This window comes from Homo sapiens, chromosome 5 (genome assembly GCF_000001405.40).
Source record: "Homo sapiens chromosome 5, GRCh38.p14 Primary Assembly".
Taxonomy (NCBI): domain Eukaryota; kingdom Metazoa; phylum Chordata; class Mammalia; order Primates; family Hominidae; genus Homo; species Homo sapiens.
The window spans coordinates 114559865-114585672 of NC_000005.10; the positions used below are offsets into that span (position 1 = coordinate 114559865).

General features: G+C 36.0%; 2 long non-coding RNA genes across 2 annotated transcripts in view; one reads left to right on the plus strand and one right to left on the minus strand.

Moving 5' to 3' along the window:
• LOC101927078 (uncharacterized) overlaps window positions 1-25808 on the minus strand; it is a 325996-nt gene that overhangs the window by 112447 nt on the left and 187741 nt on the right. The window lies entirely within an intron of this gene.
• Window positions 16177-20106, plus strand: LINC01957 (long intergenic non-protein coding RNA 1957). The gene is made up of 2 exons (NR_134282.1): window positions 16177-16261; window positions 19441-20106. It is a non-coding gene; the product is annotated as a long intergenic non-protein coding RNA 1957 (long non-coding RNA).

Sequence of the window (25808 nt, forward strand, 5' to 3'; positions counted from 1 at the left end):
CATGCTTATGTCTCCTTTGTGGTAATTAGCTGATTTGTGTACTTTTCTATGTGTGTTTTCACTTCAGTGTAAAAGTGTATGAAAATTAAATAGCCTTCAGGTCCCAGGCTGAACCTTCCCATTTCCATGTAGTGCTGTCTGATTACCACAAGAAAACCAGGGTAGAGGAGTAAGAGTTTATGATGCAAGATACATAGATACACACCCACTCAATATATACAGACATGTATGTCTGTGTATCGCCACTGCTTAGAATAGTAGTTATTCCCAAGAGATTAACCTCAAAATGTGTAACTAAAGATTTCCACAGTTTCTGCCTTTTTCTTTTGAGAGTTTTATATCTCCTTTGTCTATAACGATACTACAAGTTAGCCATTTTTTCAGATTTTCATTATGGAACTTTTGTCAGTTGGTGGACACTGTTTCATTGCAATGAAGCATTTTCCCAATTCACAGGAGTTAGAAATTAAAAAAGAAAAGATCAAGGAGGGTGAGTTGATTAGGAGATGCAAGACAGTTGGCAAGTCCCCCTCACTAAGTTATTATTTAAGGCAGACCAGACTTAAGACATAAGAAAGTCCAAGCCACGCCCCTACAGATTTTTAAATTTCTACCTGACACAGACATGGTTGCCATAAAAAGTAATAACACTGATTACAAAATCTACAAATGTCAATAAGTCTAGACAATGATGACAGTTTTATCCATTTCTTGTCTTGCCTAAGCAAGTACAAGTCACCTAAGGTCAGCTTTGTTCCTAGCAAGCATTGAATAAATTGTAACAAAATAAGTAAAATGAATGAAAATGGGCTATGTTTATTTATTTTTAACTTATTTAATTCTGGAACATCAAGAATTCTGTCAGGATGAACAAATGCTTAAGATAACACTTGTAAACTGGGACTGTCCTGTCTAGCCAGAATGTATGGTCAGTCTACACCCGACCCATGTAATTTTTATATAGTATCTCTTTTACTTCCAAAGTGTTCCAGAGTGAACAGAAGTTTAGCTGGTTATTCTATTCAAAGAAATGCTTTCCCATCACTTAGCTGTAACTAGAATAATATCATGTAAAAAGCAACCATAATTTGTCAGTGGCATAGAATAAATGTTTAGCTCACAAGCATGTGTATTGGTTTGTAGGTAGCTAATTTAAGCTGGAGTGACTCAACTGCATCTCTTTCTCATCCTCCTTCTTAGACTCAGTGGTCTAACATGGGCTGTTTCTTATGCTGATGGCAGAGAGCAAGACCAAATGCACAACACTCCCCAAGCTTTTGATCACATCTCACCCACTAATGTTCTGTTGACTAAAGCAAACCACATGGGACATTCAAGTTAAGAGGCAGAAAAATACAGCACACATTTTTGTGGAAGGAACCTGCAGTCATATGGAAAAGAACCTGAACCCAGGGAAGATGCAATCTACCACTGCACTTCATAATTGCAAACAATTACCACCGTGTCTGAGAGGTCTATGAATGAGACCATCCTCACTGCAAGCTGGTAAGATGATTTCACTTGTCACTTCATACTCCAGTGTCTTTTGTAGATCCACGTGAGAGGAATTTTATCACAAGCTGAAGCTATCTGGCTCTTAAAAAGCAGTTAAGCCCAATAGATAACAAGTGGATTCCCAACAGATAAATAATGGAACATTGTGTGATGTTTTCCTCTTGAGAACCCTGTCTCAAATGCTGTCCACTGACGACTCACGAGTGCACCTGAGACGTCCTTGAACTAAGTGCAAGCCAATTTTTCATCTGATGACTGTTACAGAACACTCACTCTCCACCCTGCCCCTCAGTGGACAGAAACAAAGGCAGAAGCCACAGAGCACAGCCTGGGGTACAGAAAGAAACACTCTGTCTTATAAACTCAACTAAACAGAACTGGAAAGTTAGCAAACTTCTCTCAAGCTTTATGAATTATGCTCCTTTGATAACTCTGAGCAAAACCCAATATTCACCTAACTGACATGTACCAGAGATCAGCAACATGCCATCAGGACCCTGTACTCTTCACTCCCGATGTAAGGAGCTGGATTTATATGGTATTCCTATGCTCACACGCTGGATGATTCTTCCTTTGCCTTTCAAGGTAGAAACCGCCTGGCAGAGAGGAGCCTCTCTAGAAATGACTATCATCTTTTGCTCCTCTTCTTATTTCTTTTCCATGGGAAAGGTGAAAAGATGTATGTTTACATCTAAGAAGGTATCACTTTTCAAGGCTCTGGTACATTAGACAAGTACATACTGGGCCTCATAGCTGATCACTGTACTTTAACAGGCAGAAATAACTATCCAGAAATCACCAGGTCAAATCAGATGGAATAATTGGAGCAAGCAGATGAGTAATCAAGTTAAGTTCTACCATCAGGTTGAATGAGACATGAGCCCACGGGGTTGTGTGTCCGTTTCCTCATCTGTCCTAGATTATATTAGACTCTTCATGACTCCTTTCAATAATTTCTGAATTTATGAAGTCAGTAATAATAAATTCACAATGCACTGTCAAATATGAATGCCCTAGTTTCACTGGGAAATAAATACTCAGTTTCCATGCAATCTTGGACAAGAAGAATGGTACTAATACTTCTTAGAATATTTTCTTCCTTCTTAGCATCTTCCTATTAATTTCCTAAAGCACACTTACCACTCCCTGATTATGAACTTCTTTTCTGTCACTAAGGTGAAAATAGTAGCTCATCTTACATAACTCCTTTTTGGAGCATGGAGAATGTAAAAGAATGAATGAATAAAAGAACAACATTATCTCAGTGCCATGGCAGAAACAAGAATGTTGCACCAGACATCCTCCATCCTCTACTTTAACATTAATTTATTCAAACATTTATGGAGCTAGGCATTCAGTACAAGTTTCAGAGACTGCAAAGATGAATACAGAAAAAGAGAAATACTTGTTTCAAACAGTTCTGAATCTAATAGGCAGATAAATTCACAAAAAAGACCATTCAGCTATAGTAGTGTCATACATGTTGTAGTAAAGATTCATTCAAAGGTCACAAAGACCCAAAGAATGGAAGACCTAACTGTAAATAACTTTTCGAACAATAATTAACACTCCTATATTGGGTAATGCTTTACAAAATCATTGATGTCAATTATTTGATTTTCCAAAGTCTTGTGATGAAGATATGCGTGCTTTCATTACCATCCTCCTTTTGTAGAAAAACAAAGGCTGAGAGATATTTAATATCTCACTTTTAGATGTTATTGGAATTATACAGATGATATACTATAAAAAATCCATAGAGACCGTCTTAACCTTTAACCCAGCAATTCCACTCCTAGGAATTCAGCCTACCTGGCCTCCTGAGTATATAGTATAATATCCTGGGTCAAGGGTATCAAATATTAGAATGAAATTTCTAATGATCAGACTGATGACATATAAGCATGGAAATATTCTTGATTGCCTAAAAACTACAATCAGTTATCTCAATTCTGTTAACATATTAAACTTCCTGTAGACCAAAACAAGGTAGATTATGTGTAATACAAATATTTTCTAACAAAGATAAACATAGGAATGACTCCTTGTCATTAAATGATTGTGCTACTAAAAATAATGAACATAAAATGTATTTATAAAAATATGTATTCCCTAACAGCCATTTTAATCACTTATTATACTCAATTACAAACAAAAATTAATATTTTAGATAACACTGTTTCCCAACCTGCATATATATTTTTCCCAACTTGTATTTATGTATGTTATTTTTCAGATCCTTAGAAACTCATCTTCCACATTATTCACGAGGAGCAATCACTTTGATTATTGATCTTTTCCCATAAAATCATATTTATTTCCTTCTACATTATACTCTTCACTTTCTTACTCCAGATTTTAATCATAGTTTCTAAAATCTTTGAGAGAAAAATCACAACATTTGAAGGGAAGAAAGAAAAATATTATCTCCCTCACCTAAATTATATCATGCTAAGAAAACTACAAAAATTTTAAACACATTCATGTTCAATGCCACTGCTTTAATCATAACTTACAATAAAAGAAACATTGTGATATGCAGTGCTGTGCTCTGCTTTAAGTAAATCTGGCAGGTATAAATTAATAGTTTGCATTACAATAAAATTCTCTACTCTCAGTGAAAACTTCCTTATTTCACTGAAACGTTGGTACTCTGGATAATTAAGCACCAGACAAAAAAGGGGAGGAATGGGAAGATAAAAGCCATATTTTAATTAATTAGTAAAAAAGACAAATATTCTTTAAAATTACACTGTAAGTCAATAATACCAAATTTACACATGCACACAGAAAAAACGTGCTTTACCTCAAATTTTCAAACCTTTATCTATTACATAAAATAAATTATAACTTTGTAAATATGTTAGTATTATTTTTCAGCAATTTCACAGTATTATTAATAATTTTAATTGAGTGCTTATTTTCTGCCATCTATAGTGCCAAGTATTTTACGTATCATCTACTTTTCACAATTCTTACTATAACAGAAGAGGAAATAATCACAAGTTAGTTGATATGTCCAAGATTACATAGCCAACAAGAAAAGAAGTGAGGATTTCAAGCCAGCTTTAACTAATTCCAAGTAGTGTGTCATTTTCACCACAATGAACAACTCCTATGTATGCGGGTACTGTATACAAATGTCTGTGTGTGTTTTATGTGTTTTTCCTTTATTTCTTTTATCAGAGGCTACAATTTTAGACTTGTGATTACTTAATTAACATTTGTTATGTTTCTATTAGATTACAGGGGCAGGAATATTTTGCTTACTATTGTTTCCATCATCTAGGAAATGAGCACATAGCACATAGTAAGTGCTCAATAAGTATTCTTTCATGATTTGTTCAAAAGATGCAGGCTGGTAATCTTTTTTTTTTTTTTTTTTTTAACACACTCTCACACTGTCTTCCAGGCTAGAGTGCAGTGGTGTGATCAGGGCTCATTGCAGTTTCAGCCTCAACTTCCCAAGACTCAGGTGATCCTCTCACCTGAGCATCCACGTCCCCTTGGTGAGCCACCTCGCCCAGCCATAGGCCAGTATTCTATGAACTATATTATGATCCTGCTGTTGGAATACCACTAAGGATTTAAGACCTTACAAAACTGCTAATTCACCTTCAAAAGGACCCAAAAGATGCAAGAACAATGACAAAATAAATTACCACCATCATGCATTAGAGAGAGAATTTGACTGGTTTCAGAGGAACTGCATGAGAAAACACAATTCCAGTACTTGTGTCATTTTAAGAAATAATATATTGATTTCAGAGTAAGCAAATTACTCCTCAAATTTCTAGACTGGAGAATTACATTCACTAGACATATTAAAAGCTGGAAAATTGGAGTTTACAAGTTCAATGTGTCAGTTTCCCTGATGCATGTCCCCCTTTGGCATAACACAGCATTAGCTTCATACTTTTCTCTTTTCTAGTCAGATTGGAAAGAAAAACGATCTTTTATTTAGCCATTAAATATAATGTCCACTGTCAGAGCAAGGGAAGCAACAAATGGGCACATGATTAAGTACTGGCAGCCCTTTTAACTTTGAAAGCCTCTTTCCAGGGGCTCACGTGGCCATAACTCTCCCAGTCTGGAACCACTTTGGCAATGATGATTTTTAAAGAAGGGTTATTAATAATTCCTCAACTTTTGATAATTTACCTCTTTGAAAAACCATGTGTAAACTTACTGGCCCAGACATAGTGAATAGCATTTTCGAAACTATCTGGCAATGCTCTCTGGCAAGCACAAATGAACATCTCTAGGAAAGTGATTTGCATTCTGCTTACAGAGGTAGTGGCTGATGGCGATAATTCTGTAGAAAACTTATTTTCACTAAGATATGACTATATTATATTCAATAATACTGTATTTATTACTTTAATTCCTCCAACCATCCTGGCAGACAGATAGAATAGGATCCTCTTTTACAGGTGAGGAAACAATGATTCAGAGAAGTGAAATAAATTTTCCAGGACACAGAGCTATGTAGTAGGAGAACCCATATTCAAACCAGAAAGCCTAGTTCTTTCCATGATTCTGCCTACTCACTCTTCTGAATTGGGTTTGCAAACAGTATTATCCTCCCATCACACAGTGCCCTTTGCTGTTGTCACTTTTGTAGAAAGTTATATTTTCTCAGACTCCAGTCTGCCAGGCTGGAAGAATGTAAACTGCTTTTACAGGGCACTTGTCAGGGCCATTTTTCCATAAAAATCTTTATAGGGAGCATGAAGCTCAGCAAACACGTTTACCACATACTGTAGACACACGTGGTCCAATTGTGATTCTTTGGAAAGCTCTAACAGGATGCGTTAGTCCGTTTTCACATTGCTCTAAAGAAATACCCGAGATTGGGTAATTTATAAGGGAAAGAAGCTTAACTGGCTCATAGTTCCACATGGCTCAGGAGGCCACAGGAAACTTACAATCATGGTGGAAAATGAAGCAGGCACATCTTACATGGCGGCAGGTGAGAGAGAGAGCATGTGAAAGTGCAGGAAAAACTACACTTTATAAAACCGTCAGATCTGGTGAGAATTCACTATCACTTGAAAAGCATGGAGATGGCCCCCATGTTCCAGTCACTTCCCTCCCTCAACATGTGGGGATTACAATTCAAGATGAGATTTGGGTGAGGACACAGAGCCAAACCATATCGCAGGAATAACTGCAGTCTTAATTAGAAAAGAGGATCAGTTTGGGTCAATTGTGACAGTATTGTTCATAATTGTAAAAAAAATAAATAAAACCAAACAGATGTCCATCAAAAGTAGAATGAACAAATTATTTCAAATGCTTCATTTAATTGAATATAATAGAGGAATTTATATGAAATACAACTATTGCACTAAAATATACCAATGGCCTTAATGTGTGATAATGCTAGGAAATAGACCAAAATGCCACTGGGGTACCCAGATATTTGGTTAAACGTTATTTTGTATCTGTCTGTAAGGGTGTTTTTGGATGAAATTAACATTTGAATAGTGTCTGTGTTGCCACGAAGAAGTACCCAAGGGGCTGGGTATTTTGTAAAGAAAAGAGGTTTATTTGGGTCACAGTTCTGAAGGCTGTACAAGAAGCATAGTGCCAGCATCTGCATCTGGTGAGGGCCTGGGAAGATTACACTCATGGCAGAAGAAGAAGGGGAGCCAACGCATTACATGATGAGAGAAAGAGCAAAACACAGAGGGAGGAGGTGCCAGGCTTCTCTAAACAACCAGATCTCATGTGAACTCAGAGTGAGAATTCACTCATTACCACAAGGACAGCACCAAGCCATTCATGAGGTATCTGCCCCCATGACCCAAACACCTCCTATTAGGCCCACTTCCAACAGTGGAAGTCACATTTCAACATGAAATTTGGAGAATACAAAACATCCAAACCATATTAAATAGGTATACTGACTAAAGCAGACTACCCTCCCTAGTGGAGTCGCCACACTGTCTTCCACAATGGTTGAACTAATTTACATTCCCGCCAACAGTGTAAAAGTGTTCCTATTTCTCCACATCCTCTCCAGCATCTGTTGTTTCTGGACTTTTTAATTATTGCCATTCTAACTGGCATGAGATTGTATCTCATTGTGGTTTTGATTTGCATTTCTCTAATGACCAGTGATGTATGAGCTTTTTTTCATGTTTGTTGGTTGCATAAATGTCTTCTTTTGAGAAGTGTCTGTTCATATCATTCACCCACTTTTTGATGGGGTTGTTTATTTTTTTCTTGTAAATTTGTTTAAGTTCTTTGTAGATTCTGGATATTAGCCCTTTGTCAGATGGATAGAATGCAAAAATTTTCTCCCACTCTCTAGGTTGCCTGCCCAGGACCAGATGGACTCATAGCCGAATTTTATCAGAGGTACGAGGTGGAGCTGATGCCATTCCTTCTGAAACTATTCCAAACAATAGAAAAAGAGGAACTGCTCCCTAACTCATTTTATGAGGCCAGCATCATGCTGATATCAAAACCTGGCAGAGACACAACAATAAAAGAAAATTTCAGGCCAATAACCCTGATGAACATTGATGCGAAAATCCTAAATAAAATACTGGCAAACCGAATCCAGCAGCACAGCAAAAAGCTTATCCACCATGATCAAGTGGGCTTCATCCCTGGGATGCAAGGCTGGTTCAACATACGCAAATCAATAAACGTAATCCATCACATAAACAGAACCAATGACCGTTGGTTATCAATAATTATCTCAATAGATGCAGAAAAGGAATTCAATAAAATTCAACACCTCTTCATGCTAAAAACTCTCAATAAACTAGGTATTGATGGAATGTATATCAAAATAATAAGAACTATTTATGACAAACCCAAAGCCAATATCATACTGAATGGGCAAAAGCTGGAAGCATTCCCTTTGAAAACCAGCATAAGACAAGGATGCCCTCTTCCACCACTCCTATTCAACCTAGTATTGGAAGTTCTGGCCAGGGCAATCAGGCAAGAGAAAGCAATAAAAGGTATTCAAATAGGAAGAAAGTAAGTCATATTGTCTCTGTTTGCAGACGGCATGATTGTATATTTAGAAAACCCCATGGTCTCACACCAAAACCTCCTTAAGCTGATAAGCAACTTCAGCAGAGTCTCAGGATGCAAAATCAATGTGCAAAAATCACAATCATTCCTGTACACCAATAATAGACAAACAGTCAAATCATGAGTGAACTCCCATTCACAGTTGCCACAAAGAAGATAAAATACCTAGGAATACAACTTACAAGGGATGTGAAGGACCTCTTCAAGGAGAACTACAAACCACTGCTCAAGGCAATAAGAGACGACACAAACAAATGGAAAAACATTCCATGCTCATGGATTGGAAAAATCAATATCATGAAAATGGCGGTACTGCCCAAAGTAATGTATAGATTCAATGCTATCCCCCTCAAGCTACCATTGTCTTTCTTCACAAACTAGAAAAAACTACTTTAAATTTCATATGGAATCAAAAAAGAGCCCACATTGCTAAGTCAATCCTAAGCCAAAAGAACAAAGCTGGATGCATGACACTACCTGACTTCAAACTATACTACAAGGCTACAGTAACCAAAACAGCATGGTACTGGTACCAAAACAGATATATAGACCAATGGAACAGAACAGAGGCCTCAGAAATAATGCCACACATATACCGCTATCTGATCTTTGACAAACCTGACAAAAACAAGTAATGGGGAAAGGATTCCCTAGTTAATAAATGGTGTTGGGAAAACTGGCTAGCCACATGCAGAAAACTGAAACTGGACCACTTCCTTACACCTCATACAAAAATTAACTCAAGATGGATTAAAGACTAAAACCATAAAAACCCTAGAAGAAAACCTAGGCAATACCATTCAGGACAGAGGCATGGGCAAAGACTTCATGACTAAAACACCATAAGCAATGGCAATAAAAGCCAAATTGACAAATGGGATCTAATTAAACTAAAGAACTTCTGCACAGCAAAAGATTATGGCCATTCTTGCAGTCGTGAGGGAGTACTGCATTGTGGTTTTGATTTGCATTTCCCTGATCATTAGCGATGTTGAGCATTTTTTCACATGTTTGTTGGCCATTTGTATATCTTCTTTGGAGAATTGTCTATTCATGTCCTTAGCCCACTTTTTGAAGGGATTGTTTGCTTTTTTTCTTACTGCCTTGTTTGAGTTCATTGTAGTTTCCGGATATTAGTCCTTTGTCAGGTGTATAGAGTGTGAAGATTTCTCCCAATCTTGTGGGTTGTCTGTTTACTCTGCTGAGTCTGTTCCTTTTTCTATGCAAAAGCTCTTTAGATTAATTAAGTCCCAACTAGTTATCTTTGTTTTTATTGCATTTGCGTTCACACGACAAAATTGTCCAATGATGCATTTATCTGAATATATCCCTGTCACTAAGCAGTGAATGACTGAATATATAAAATGGCTTTGATACTGATTTTCCCTAGTTCATATGAAAATAAAATTCTAGTATAATTAAAACTAAGAATTTCTTCACACCCAGTGTTGTGATAGAGTTCACTTCCAGAGGATTAACCACCAGAAATATACCCAGTGAATTCCTTAGCATGAGACCACCTACTTGCTAATAATGTATTTAGATGTCATACAAAATATTTTGGAATCAGGTGCAACATTTACTATTTTGTAATTAATTTACTAAATTTTATGAAGCTGAATTTTATTTTTGTATAAATTTATGGAGTAGAAGTGGAATTTTATTACATGCATAGATTTCCTAGTGGTGAAGTCAGGGGTTTTAGTGTATCCATCACCTAAATAACGTACATAGTACCCTTTAAGTAAATTCTCATCATCCAGCCCCCTCCCACACTTTCACCCTTCCAAGTCTCCATAGTCTATCATTCCAGACTCTATGTATTTGCATACGCATTTAGCTTCCACTTATGAGTGAGAACATACAATATTTGTCTTTCTGTATCTGGCTTGCTTCACTGAAGATAATAGCCTCCAGTTCCATCCATGTTGCTGTGAAAGACTTAATTTCATTCTTTTTTATGGCTGAATAGTATCCTGTTGTGTATATATACCACATTTTCTTTATTCAAGCATCCAGTGATAGACACATGTTGATTTCGTATCTTTGCTATTGTGAAAAGTGCTGTGATAACATATAAGTGCAGATATCTATGTAAAATAATAATTTATTTTCCTTAGAGTAGATACCCAGTAGGGAAATTGCTGGATCAAATGGTAGTTCTATTTTTAGTTCTTTGAGGAATCTCCATACTGTGTTCCACAGAAGTTGGACTAATTTACATTCTCACCAACAGTGTATGAGTACCCTTATCTCTGCATCCTCGCCAACATCTGTTATTTATGTTTTTATAATAGCCATTCTCACTGGGATGATACTCAATGTGGTTTTAATTTGCCTCAGAGGATTAGTGATGTTAAGCAATTTTTTTCATATAACTGTTAGTCATTTGTATGTCTTCTTTTGAAAACTGTCTATTCATATATTTTGCCCACTTTTTAATGGTGTTATTTGGGGTTATTTTGTTGAGTTCTTTGAATTATTTGTATATTCTGGATATTAGACCCTTGCCAGGGGCATAGTTTGCAAATATCTTCTCCCATTCTGCAGGCTGTCTGTTCGCTCTGTTATTTCCTTTGCTGTACAGGAGCTTTTTAGTTTAATTAAGTCCCATTTGTCTATTTTTGTTTTTGTTACTTGTGCTTTTGAGGTCTTAGCCATGAATTATTTGCCTAGCCCAATGTCCAGAAGAGTTCTTTCCCTAGGTTTTCTCCCAGTAATTTTATAGTTTCAGGTCTTACATTTAAGTCTTTAATCCATCTTGAGATGATTTTCATATATGATGAAGGATGGCAGTTCAATTTTATTCTTCTGTATATGGCAATCCAATTTTCCCAGCACCACCATTTATTAAAGAAACTTTCCTTTCCTCAGTTTATGTTCTTGTCAATTTTGTCAAAGATCAGTTTGCTGTAGATAGGTGGATTTATTTTGGGGTTTGCTATTCTTCCATTGTTCTATGTCTATTTTTATATCAGTACCATGCTGTTTGGGTTATTACAGCTTTCTAGTATAATTTGACATCAGCTAACGTGATACCTCTGGCTTTGTTCTTTTTGCTTAGGATTCCTTTGGCTAATCGGGTTCTTTTATGGTTCCATATGAATTTTAGAATAGTTGTTTCTAATTCTGTGAAAAATGACATTAGTATTTTAATAGAGATAGCACTCAATCTTTACATTGCTTTGGGTAGTATTATCCTTTTTACGATATTAATTCTTCTAATCCATGGGCATGGGATTTTTTTTTACATTTGTGCCCTGTTCAATTTCTTTCATCAGTGTTTTGCAGTTTTCCTTGTAGGCAATGTTCACCTTGTTGGTTAAATATATTCCTAGATATTTTTTGTAGCTATTGTAAATAAGATTGCCTCCCTGATTTCGTTCTCAGCTAGACTGTTATTGGTCTATGGAAATGCTACTGATTTTTATACATTGATTTGTATCCTGAAACTTTACTGAATTCATTTATCAAATTTAAGAGTTTTTTGGTGGAGTCTTTAGGTTTTATAGATATAAGATCATATCCTCAGTGAACAGGGATGTATGTTTTTCCCAGATATTCAACTTCAGAGCTTCTTACAGGCTAAAAACTGTAAGCATATAAAGAAAGGATATTTATTGAATCACTATTCATAGTGGTGAACAATCTGAATAGTCAATAACAAGTAAATGGTTACATAAATTATGATGTATTTATTCTGCAGAATATAATGCAGACAGAAAAAGAACAAATTAGATGTATATTCACTCTCTAGAGGGCTATTTTATATGAATAAATGAAGAATGCAGCTGCAGAAAAACATATACATTAAAAATCTTTTTTTATAAACAATCCTATATCTGCATTTAAGCTTAAATGAGTAAAATTAGTAGTACAAAGTACACACTGGATTACCTTGAGGAGGTCAAACAGAAGTTTATTTAATTCTTTATACATTTTTTCTATCATTTTATATTATAAATAACCATGTGTTTTTTTGTACTTAAAAAAATTGTCATGAAACATAATTATCTTTCCAAGAACAAGAAATAGCATAGTTATTACTTCAGGGTATGTCATTTTACCTTTTTATTTGCTTAAAATTTTTTTTTAATGAATAAAGTTTTTATACTAATCATATGCACACACCTATTTAGTATTTAATGTGTAATTTTTAACCACATTGATTTTATTAAATGCCACTGTTTATAGGTGTACAACAAAAGGTGATAGAACTTTTGAACAAATGTAGGTTTATACTCAAATTCACGAACCATTTTAGAAACACAGCCAACATACTGCCCATGAGTTCACTTCATCAAAGCTTCTGTTGTTAACTCTTAATCAATCTTGTTGAAACTAATTAAAACAGCACTAGCTTTAATTGGTCTAAGCGGACCATAATTGATGTTCTAACAACCAAGCATTTTAAGACAGAAACTCAAGGCCAACCTGGATCAGTTTTTAACAGAAGCCAGTTCAAGTTATGGCGTTTGTTGTAGATGGGTTGTTGCTCTGGGAATGTGATAAATATGAAGAAAAAAGGCAAAGCTTGAGATGATGTAACATTATTAGCCACACTCAGAAGTGCAGAAAACTATAAATGGATCTGTGCCCTTATAGCCACTTGGAGAAATAAGTATTCAGAAGGAGAACATGTTTGATGGATTTGGAATGCTACAGAAAAAAGCATACCTTCATTTGATTTGAAAACCACACATTCTACTTTAAAGTTCATATGGAACCACAAAAGAGCCCACATTGCCAAGTCAATCCTAAGCCAAAAGAACAAAGCTGGAGGCATCAAGCTACCTGACTTAAAACTATACTACAAGGCTACAGTAACCAAAACAGCATGGTACTGGTACCAAAACAGAGATATAGACCAATGGAACAGAGCAGAGGCCTCAGAAATAATGCCACATATCTACAACCATCTGATCTTTCACAAAGCTGACAAAAACAAGAAATGGGGAAAAGATTCACTATTTAATAAATGGTGTTGGGAAAACTGGCTAGCCATATGTAGAAAGCTGAAACTGGATCCCTTCCTTACACCTTATACAAAAATTAATTCAAGATGGATCAAAGACTTAAATGTTAGATCTAAAACCATAAAAACCCTAGAAGAAAACCTAGGCAATACCATTCAGGACATGGGCACGGGCAAGGACTTCATGTCTAAAACACCAAAAGCAATGGCAACAGAAGCCAAAATTGACAAATGGGATCTAATTAAACTAAAGAGCTTCTGCACAGCAAAACAAACTGCCATCAGTGAACAGGCAACCTACAGAATGGGAGAAAATTTTTGCAATCTACTCATCTGACAAAGGGCAAATATCCGGAATCTACAATGAACTCCAACAAATTTACAAGAAAAAAACAAACGACCCCATCAACAAGTGGGCGAAGGATATGAACAGACACTTCTCAAAAGAAGACATTTATGCAGCCAAAAGACACATGAAAAAATGCTCATCATCACTGGCCATCAGAGAAATGCAAATCAAAACCACAATGACATACCATCTCACACCAGTTAGAATGGCAATCATTAAAAAGTCAGGAAACAAGTGCTGGAGGGATGTGGAGAAATAAGAACACTTTTACACTGTTGGTGGAACTGTAAACTAGTTCAACCATCGTAGAAGTCAATGTGGCAATTCCTTAGGGATCTAGAACTAGAAATACCATTTGACCCAGCAATCCCATTACTGGGTATATACCCAAAGGATCATAAAACATGCTGCTATAAAGACACATGCACACGTTATGTTTATTGCGGCACTATTCACAATAGCAAAGACTTGGAACCAACCCAAATGTCCAACAATGACAGACTGGATTAAGAAAATGTGGCACATATACACCATGGAATACTATGCAGCCATAAAAAAGGGTGAGTTCATGTCCTTTGTAGGGACATGGATGAAGCTGGAAACCATCATTCTCAGCAAACTATTGCAAGGACAAAATACCAAACACTGCATGTTCTCACTCATAGGTGGGAACTGAACAATGAGAACACATGGACACAGGAAGGGGAACATCACACACCGGGGCCTGTTGCAGGGTGGCAGGAGGGGGAGGGATAGCATTAGGAGACATACTTAATGATAAATGATGAGTTAATGGGTGCAGCACACCAACATGGCACATGTATACATATGTAACTAACCTGCATGTTGTGCACATGTACCCTAAAACTTAAAGTATAGTAATAAAAAAAAGAAAACCTCATATTGAGAGCACAATATGTTCATTCATCTATTTATCCTACAAACATTTTTTAGAATTTAATTTTCATTGCCAAGCTCTGTACTGTCTCTAAGGACAAAGCAATAAAGAAGATTAACCCTGTCACCAGCCCTAATGCTGACATTTTAAGAAACACAAATTACCTCCCCTCCCTCAAGCTGTTTTACTGCCACCCACCTGAAAAGTGTTGTGAAAAATACACAAATCTAAGATAACTACAAATGTGAATGGTTACCCTGGAGTTCTGCAGTGCCTAAAGATCACAAAATCCTAGGGACCACGATGTAATTTTGCCGTGTCTCCGCTCAAATCTCATCTTAAATTGTAGTTCCCAGAATCCCAATGTGTTGTGTGAGGGACCTGGTGGGAGGTCCCTCATGTGGGCGGTTACCTACATGCTGTTCCCATGATAATGAGTGAGTGCTCACAAGATCTGCAAGATCTGATGGTTTATAAGGGGCTTTTCCCCAGCCTCGCTCTGCACTTCTCCTTGCTGCCACCATGTGAAGAAGGTCACGTTTGCTTCCCCTTCCACCATGGTTATAAGTTGCCTGAGGCCTCCCTAGCCCTGTAGAACTGTGAGTCAATTAAAGCTCTTTCCTTTATAAATTACCCAGTCTTGGGTATGTCCTTATAGCAGCATGAGAACAAACTAATACAGACTGGGAATACAGAGATAGTAAACATATCGGATCATTTCAATATCACTATATTATCTAAGTCAGAGGTATGTATCAGGGACTAGGGTGACCAAAGGAGGGCCTGGTTAGAAAGTTTGACAAATGTTTTCTTGAAGAGATGATGGCCAAACCATGTCTGGGCCAAATTTTTCAGGTGTGATATGCTTTTATCTGAATGTGAAGAAAAGGTGGATCTTTGATAGATCCTGACCAAGGCAGTGAAAGATCCTTGTAGTGGGTCTTTAGGTAGATAAATGAGAGAGAGAGTTACCATCAAATCACCAAGATGTTATTTTCTCCAGTTTAAAGAAAAAGACTCAGCCACTTCTTCCTCTCTGTTCTCTTTCATAGCGATTCTCAGCTCTTTGGAGGCTACCTTGTGAAGACTCCCCTGATCTAAATTATTAAGACCATCTTCTTTGGGAATGACGAGAGAAGAGGAAGAAGAAAGCAGTGTGCAAAGAATGAGAATTCTATGTGCCTCCAAAGAGAAAAAACTGCAACTACACATCAGCGTTATGCAAATGACCTCTATTCTTAAAAGTTGGCTGAAAATGAGGAAATCCATTGCATTCACAGAGATATTCTGTGGGAGCAAAAAGGGAGAGAACAACAGTACTACTTTAAAAAGAAATGTACTATGTAATTTTCCCTAGCATTATCCAAATCAAACATTTTTGAAGCAACAAGCCTCTATCCAGAGCTCAGAAACTGAAAAAAATATATTACATTTTTCTTATACAGGCATACCTTGGATATATTGGAAGGTAAGTTGCAGATTATGGCAGTTATGCAAAATACCCTATTAAGCAAGTCATACCATAATTTTTGGTTTACCAGTGCATATAAAAGTTATGTTTATATTGTAGTCTTTTCAGTGTGCAATAGAATTATGTCTCAAAAAATGCACACAACTTAAAAATTCCTTGTTGCTAAAAAATTCTAACAATCATCTGAGCCTTCAAAGAGTCATCATCTTTCTGCTGGTAGAGGGCCTTGCCTCAGTGTCAATGGCTACTGCCTAATCAGGGTGATGTTTGCTAAAGTTTGGGATGGCTGTGGCAATTTAGTAAAGTAAGACAATAAAGTCAGCATCTTCAGTTACTCTTCCTTTTACAAAAAAATTTCTCTGTAGCATGTGATGCTGTTTGATAGCATTTACTCACAACAAAACCTCTTTCAAAATTGGAGTCCTCTTAAAAATTGTCCTTGCTTTATTAACTAAACTTATGTAATATTCTAAGTCCTTTGTTGTCATTTTGACAATGTTCACAGTATCTTCAGCAAGAGTGGAGTCCACCTCGTGAAACCGTTTTCTATTTTCATGCATAAGAAACAACTGTTCATCAGTTCAAGTTTTACCATGAGATTGCAGCAATTCAATCACGTCTTCAGAACCCACTTTTAATTCTAGTTCTCTTGCTATTTCTATCACATCTGCAGTTACTTCCTTAACTCAAGTTGCTAGAAAATAATGCAGCTAGTGACTTTACATTGAACCCTTCAAAGTAAGGGGTTGGAATCCATTTCTTCCACACTCCTGTTAAGGTTGCTATTTTGACCTCCTCCCATGAGTTATGAATATTCTTAATGTCATTTAGAATGATGAATCCTTTCCAGGAGGTTTTTAATTTCCATTAAAGGAATTGTTCTCTATATCTATGGCAACTATAGTCTTACAAAATGTGTTTTTCAAATAATAAGACTTGAAAATCAAAATTACTCCTTGATCCATGGGCTGCAGAATGGATATTGTGTTATTAGCCATGAAAACAACATTAATCTCCTTGTGCACCTCCATCAGAGCTCTTGGGTGAACAGGTGCATTGTCAATGCACAGTAATATTTTGAAAGGAATCTCTTTCTCTGAGCAGTAGGTCTCAACAGTGGACTTAAAATGTTCAATAACCATACTATAAACAGATGAGTTGTCATCTAGGCTTTGTAGTTCCACTTATAAAGCACAGGCAGAGTCCATATAGCATTATTCTTAAGGGCGCTAGGATTTTTGGTCAATGAGCATTGGCTTCAACTTAAAGTCATCAGCTGCATTAGACACTAACAAGAGAGTCAGCCTGTCCTTTGAAGCTTCTAAGTCAGGCATTGACTTCCCCTTTCTAGCTGTGAAAGTCTTAGATGATCATCTTCCAATATAAGGTTGTTTCTTCTCCAGTGAAAATCTACTATTTAGCATGGCCACCTTCATCAATAATTTTAGCTAGATCTTCTACATAACTTGCTACAGCTTCTATATTAGAACTTCCTGCATCACCTTGCACTTTTATTTTATGTATATGGCTTCTTACCTTAAGTCTCATGAATCAATCTCTGCTAGATTCCCACTTTTCTTCTTCAGCTTCCCCACCTGTCTCAGCCTTCATAGAATTAAAGAGAGTTAGGGCTTTCTCTGAATTTAACTTGGCTTAAGGAAACATTGTGGCTGGCTTGATCTTCTATCCAGACCACTCAAAATTTCTCTACTTCAGCAATAAAGCTGCTGCTTTCTTATCATTTGGGTGTTCAGTGTGGTAGCAATTTAATTTTTTTCAAGAATTTTCCTTTGTATTTACACATTGATTAACTCTTTGGTATAATATGTCTAGGTTTTCTACATGCCTTCCTTGCTAAACAATCATTTCTAGCTTTTGATTTAAAGTGAGAGACATATGACTCTTCCTTTTACTTAAACACTTAGAGGCCATTGTAGGACTATTACATGACCTACTTTCAATATTATTCTGTTTCATGTAAAAGGGAGGCTTGAGGAGAGAGAGAGAGAGACAGACAGACAGGAGAATAGCCAGTTGGTAGAGTAGTCAGAACACATGTATTTGTCCTTTAAACACTGTCATCTTATAAGGGCAAAGCTAGTGGCATCCCTCCAAAATTACAATCATTACATCAAAGATCATTGATCACAGATCACCATAGCAAATATAATAATGATGGAAACATTGTAAATATTGCGAGAATTACCAAAATGTGACCCAGACACGTGAAGTGAGCACATGCTGTTGGAAAAATGGCTCCAATACACTTGTTCAGCATAGGGCTGCTACCATTTTTCAATCCATAAAAATACAATATCTATGAATTCCAATGAAGCCAAGCATAATGAAATAATATATGATATATATGTTCTAACTCAGGAGCATTTAAAATAATATGGTCCTCATTTTAATTACATCATTTATTTCTACTACTCAGCAGCACACATATAAACAAGGGGAAGAAAGGGGAGCAACTGCCCTGAGTGGGCTCAACCATACACAAATTGGTCAATGGCAAACACATTTAAGCAGAATGTTGGGGGAGGGGGCCGGTGGTATTTCCTTGGATTTTAGGCACTTTGGGCAAGAATCTAACCAGGAACCAAGATAAAAATATTAAGAGTTGGAAAAGGAGCTAAGTTTATGTTTCTACATCACTTTTCTTCAAGTTACTCAAAGTGTTTGGTTCAAAATACCAGAAGATTTGGTGACATGGGTGAAAGGATATTTCAGATGCTAAAAATGAAATACTTGAAAATAATGTAGTTTATTCATAGAGTGAAGAACTAACAAGAATATGTCTTTTTCACCAAAAAAACCCCTCACATTCCTCCTCCCTCTTCTAGTCCCTGGATGATTCTATTTAAACATTTGTAAATTTTAAACATTTTATAAACAGTTTTAAATACTGGTGCAGGATTGAGTTGCTAGTTACTTTGTAACTAGTAAACATTTGGCCACATTTTCCTCTTGTGAGCTAGGTAAACATTTCCATGTATTTTTCTAGCTCTTACCTATTCCATGGATGATCATCAGCAATTGTATATAACAAGTCATAGACGAACAAAGATACTCAACATACTAAGGAAGTAATTTACCCAAGATTTTGTGTAGTTATTTTGATGAGCAGATTTTGGCCATAACATTACTAATTGCAAAATCTTGTATCATTCCAGGGAGAGGCTAAAAATCTCTCATGAAAGCACCAGTATCTGAGTGCTGACCACGGTAGGCTTCTGCGCTTACAGAGGAGCTGCATCACAGATGAGAGAAATACAACCAAGACTTCAACTACAATTGAGCAGAAAGCCTCCCATAAACATGAAGACAATTCGTAACCAGAGTTTAAGTTTTATAAAGGTGTCTAAAAATATCTTATTTTGAATCATGCAAAAGTGATCCAGTCTGGAAGCATTGTAAAAATAATGCTTCCTTCCCAGGCTGGGTAGTTTGTAAAACCCTAGAGACTAGAATTTCCTCAAGCCTATTTTATCCTCTTTATTCTGGAGAAGAAAACAAATCAAGAAATCGAAACACTTGACCTTGGAAAGGATCTCATCCTTTGTTACAGACTGGCTGACTCTGAATATATCAGGAATGTACTTCCTAGACCCCAGGACTCAAATATAACCAGAGTGACAGATAGGGCAGGTCTGAGAGAAGTAGCAAACGTACTTCATCTTAGGGTCAGAAAGAAACATGCTGGTATAATTCTAACTTAGAAAATAACCAGGTAAGGGGTCTTGTAAACTTCATACAATGCTGCTGCCTCTGAGTTATTAAAAAAATTACTAACAGGCTTCTGATCAACTAAAGGAATAAAATTAGGTGTTCAAAGGAGATTTTTTAATGTCCTCATCTAGAATTATTTCCCCATTGTGATAACACTGAATTATAACCAGAAGCTGGACATATTTTAAAACACCTTTTAAATAGGCAGGTCTAAACCTTGAAAACATCAGTGATATAGAGAACCCACCATTGAGTGTGAAGTTTGAGAAATTGATCCTAAAGCTTTAATTAATTGTCCCACGTCAGGCTACCAATAGATTAACGCTTTTGTTCTTGTCACCACTACCTTTATAAAAAAATACATGGATGGAAAATGTGAAGAAATAAAAGAGAATGATGAATGCCTTCACATTTAAAGATGGAAAGAAAAGAGGAACCGTTTCAAATACCACATGGGAGAAGAAATTTGTATCTTTACCATTCAGAATATACTCATAATTCCTGCCCATTTGCTCAACTATGTTTACTATTTTACTTTTCACTGAACCTTAACACAGATCAATTTGGGACAAAGATACAAATAAGTTTTTTGATAATTTTTGCAATCTTGATAATTTTCTTTAAAAAATTAACATAACAACATGGCCTAGTGCTACATATCAAGCTTTTTTTTAATAGGCTTTTAAGAAGAGTTTTAAGTCCACAGCAAAATTGAGCAGAAAGTACAGAGTTTCCATATACCTCCGACCTATCCCCTTCCCAGAGCCTCATGACTATCAATATCCCCCACCAGAATGGTACATTCATTATAGCTGATGAGCCTATACTGACATCATTATCACCCAAAGTTCATTGTTTACATTAGGGTTCACTCTCGGTGTTGTACATTGTATGGATTTGAACAAATTTATAATGACATGTATCTACAGTAGTAACATACACACTAGTTTCGCTGCCCTAAAAATCTTCTGTCCTCTGCCTATTCGTTCCTCCCTCCCTTTAAACCCTGGATCTTTTTAATGTCGCCATAGTTTTGCCTTTTCTAGAAGTCATGTAGTTGGAATTACACAATATGTAGTCTTTTTGGATTGCCTTCTTTCACTTAGTAATATATATTTAAGATTACTCTATGCCTTTCCATGCCTTGATAGCTCATTTCTTTTTAATACTGAATAATATTCAATTGCCTGGATGTGCCACAGTTTATTTATCAATTCACCCAGTAAGAGACATCTTGGTTGCTTCTAAGTTTTGGCAAATATGAACAAATCTGCTATACACAATCATGTGCAAAACTTTTGTAGGAATTTTCAACTCCTTTGGATATATATCAAGAAGTACAATGGCTGAATTGTACGTTAAGAGCGTAGCTAGTTTTGTTTTAAGAGACTGCCAAACTGTGAGACTGCCAAACTGTCTTCCAAAGTACCACTTTACATTCCTACCAGCAATGAATGAGCTTTCCTGTTAGGTACTTCCAAGGCATCATTTTGCATTCCTAGCAGCAATGAATGAGAGTTCCTGTTATTCCACATTCTTACTAGCACTGGGTGATGTCAGTTCCAGATTTTGGCCATCCTAATAGGCATGTAGTAGTATCTCACTGTTGTTTTAATTTGCAATTCCCTAATGATATAGGATGTTGTGCATATTTTAATAAGCTTATATACCATCTGTATATTTTCTTTGGTGAGTTTTCTGTTCAGATCTTTTGTGCAGTTTAAAATGAGGTTGTTCGTGTTTTTCTTGTTGAGTTTTAAGAGTTCTCTGTATATTTTGGATAATAGTTCTTTATCAAATGTGCCATTTGCAAATATTTTCTCCCAGTCTGTGGTTTGTCTTCTTACTCACTTGACACATTGAGTTTTCTCATAGAAAATAGTGCTTATTTGGAAGAATAAGATATTTCTTTGTCAGTCTGTATCTTTCAGATACCCAATTTATAATTCCAGAAGTTAGAACATTTTCTAGCTCCTCTCATGTTCAGAAAGGCAGATATTTTATCTAATCTATAATTATCCCGTTCACAAATTAAATAGATATTTTTGTTCCTCAAACTCGCTTTTTTATTCCTCGAACATTTCATTTTCTCTTTTCCTACCAATTTCAAAATCAATAGATATTAACATCCAACTGATCTTTGCCAGTGAGTACTAGGAGAGAAGAACTAAGTTGAAAAATAAATTTCTATCTGCTTTTAGAATGGGTGCATATTGTGCCACACTGCCAAGCTATATTTAACTTTCTGGCAATATATTTTCTTAGGGTTTAATTCTGGGCCAGCCAGAGAGAAATATTACTTTAGCATTAAAGCTATACATTCTGGAGAGAAAAGCATAACTTTCTGATGAAGAAAAGAACTGGGAGTAATTTCCATTTTATAATGCCTTATTAGAGCATTAGAGAAGGTTTGACAAAAAACAATGGTACAGACCACAGGAAGGAAAAACAATTAAAAAAGATTAATGCACAAGGATTCCCTACCATAGGCAAGGTAGGCTAGACATAACCTCATGTAACTTTGCCTAGCATGAAAAAAAAATTGACAGTTTATCTTTACAGAATACTTACAAAGTTTCAGCGCAAATTGCCACATTTTTGAGTTAGGCAAACAAAGCACAAAGTTTCTCATACTCTACAATGAGCAAATGAGAGGGGCCTAGAAAACATTTCTGTCAGGTTTGAGATGGTTTAAATGCTGAAAACAAAAAAAAAAAAAAGAAAAGAAAGAAAGAAAAATCTGATCCTCCCTGCTAATTGTATTTTGCAACAGAGATGGGCCTTGGTTATGGCTGCAGTTGAACAATGAATATTTCCAAAAGGAGACCTTTGCCTGAAAATGGCAGAGAACTACAAAAAACTCATACTCAAGACCTCTTCAGAATCAGATCAACTTCTCCCATTTGCTAACCCCTTCCAGATTTATATCCTGTAAAATTTTGGTTGATGAAGACATACAGAATCTTGCCCAGGACCGCACATCCAAATAGTATTGAGAGACTGGAGACAGAAGTGGGGAAGAGGAAGTTATCTAGAAGCAATTCATGCCTCCTGTCAGAAAGCTCCAGAAGGATAGATTGCTTCTTATTCAAAATGAGCTAGAAACAAAAATGCTATTATGAGGCTTATAACAGAGCTTCCTCACATTACAAAAGAAGACAGCTATCATGAAGAAAATCATGTGACTTACTATTTTCTATAGAAAACAAAAAAAAATTCAGAGACAATGTCCAGTATGTATTATCACCAACTTTCAATAAGGGATACAATACCAAGGACCTGCTGGTGAAGCTCAGCCCACGGGAGTGTGCTATTTTGCCTCACCAATGCAGAAAAATTGCCCACATTTTCTTTCTATAAAAATCTAGATTTCTTTTGACAAATTGTAAAATCTGGCAGTATTTGGTCCCTGTTTCCAAATGGAGACTAGTGGGCTAGACCTGAGGAGGCGACATTCCCCAAAATGGGCCCATGGTACCCACTAGCACATCCTAGATCCTTACCAAAGGCCCAGTTTTCTCGTTTGTGTCACCCACTTGACTTGTTGAAATTCAGATTCACAATTTCTGATATATAAGAAATATGGAGGCAATGAAGTCACAGACATCTTGAGGAGTGATTTACATAGGTTAGACAAAAATGCAACAGCTGGGACTTCTGGAGTGGTGGAATGAGGGCTTTCATAAACCCTGTCTCAATAATTACAAATAATAATAATATAACAGTATGATTTAGGGAATGAGCTGTCCACAGATGGTTTTGAGAAGCTCTGACATATTCCTAAGGATCTTGAAGACCACACAAATGTGCAGAGCCATGCACATGACCAGAAAACACCTGAGAGATTGCTCAGCTCTCTCTTTTGGCTGACCCTGAGGGCCTGCGCAAGCAGGAAATAAAGGCTAAGGCCAACTTGCAGGCTGTCTTAATGTTGAAGATATGCCCCAGCAAACACACAAAACCCTACACCACAAAGACTACTACAAATACTTCATCCATTCATCTATTGACAGATACTTAGGTTGACTGTGAATAGTGTTAAAATAAACACGGGACTGCAGATATCTGTATGACATAATGATTTCCTTTCTTTTGGATAAATACCCGGCAGTGGGATTACTGAATCATATGGTAGTTGTATTTTCACTTTTTTTGAGAAACCTCCATACTGTTTTCTTTAAGGGCTATACTCATTTACATTTCCACCAACAGTGTATGAGTGTTCTCATTTTCTGGCATCCTTGCTAACTTTTGTCACTTCTTTGCCTTTTCGACAACAGCCATTCTAAATTGGGTGAGATGGTATCTCAATGGGATTTTGATTTGCATTTCCTTGATTACTAACGATGTTTGGCATTTTTTTATATACCTCTTGGCCATTTGTATGCCTTATTTTGAGAAATGTGCATTCAGGTCTTTTGCCCATTTTAAATTAGATTATTGCTATTATTTGCTATTGCTTGAGTTCCATATATATTCTGGGTATTAATCCTTTGTAAGATGTATAGTTTGCAAATATTCTCCCACATTCTGTACATTCTTTCTTCACTTTGTTGATTTTTTCCTTTGCTGCAAAGAAGAGTGAAAAAGGATTGTTTCTTTTGGTGTGCAGAAGAGTAAGCAAACAATTTCATTCTTTCACAATATTGGTCATGCTCTTGTTTTGAGTTTGATGTAATCCTATGTGCCTACTTTTGATTTTGTTGCCTGTACTTTTGAGGTGTTACCCAAAAAATCTCTTAGTCCAGCAAATGTCCTGTAGTAATTCCCCAATGCTTTTTTCTAGTAGTTTAACAGCTCAGGGCTTAAATTTAAGTCTTTAATCTATTTTGAGTTGATTTTTTAATATAGTGAAAGATGGGGATCTAGTTTCATTCGTGGGCATATGGATATCCAGTTTTATTTATTAAATGTTTATAATTTATTAAAATTTATTAAAGAGACTGCCTTTCCTTTAATATATGATCTTGAAACTTTGTTGCAAATGAGTTAGCTATAAGTGTGTGGATGTATTTCTGGATTCTCTGTTCTGATCCACTGGTCTATATGTCTGTTTTTATGCCAGCACCACGATGTTTTGATTACTGTATCTTTGTAGTATAATTTGAAGACAATTACTGTGATTCCTCCAGATTTATTCTTTTTGCTCAGGATTGCTTTAGCTATTGAGGTCTTTTGTCATTCCATACACATTTTAGAATCTTTTTCTATTTCTGTAAAGAATGTTATTGGTATTTTAATAGAGAATGCATTGACTCTTTAGGTTATTTTGGGTAGTATAGACATTCTAACAGTAATTCTTTTAACCCATGAGCATGGGATATCTTTCTTTTTGTTTGTGTGTGTAGGTCCTCTTTGATATCTTTCTTCATTGTTATATAGTTTTGTTCATAAAGATCTTTAACTATTTTGGTTAAATTTGTTCCTAGGTACTTCATTTTTTTGAAGCTATTGTAAATGGGACTCCTTTCTTGATTTCTTTTTCAGATTGATTACTATTAATTTATAGAGATGCTACTAATTTTTGTTTGTTGATTTTATATCCTGCAACTTTACTGAATTTATTGGTTCTACAGTTTTTTTTTTTTGGTGGGGTCTGTAGATTTTTCTAAATGTAAGATTATGTTGTCTTCAAACAGATAATTTGACTTCTTCCTTTCTAATTTGGATGCCCTTTCTTTCTTTCTCTAGCCCAATTGCTCTGACTAGGAATTACAATACAGTGTTGAACAGAAGTGGTGAAATTAGGTATTTTTGTTTTATTTCAGATCTTAGTCATATGGCTTTCAATTTTTTTCAGTATATTAGCTCA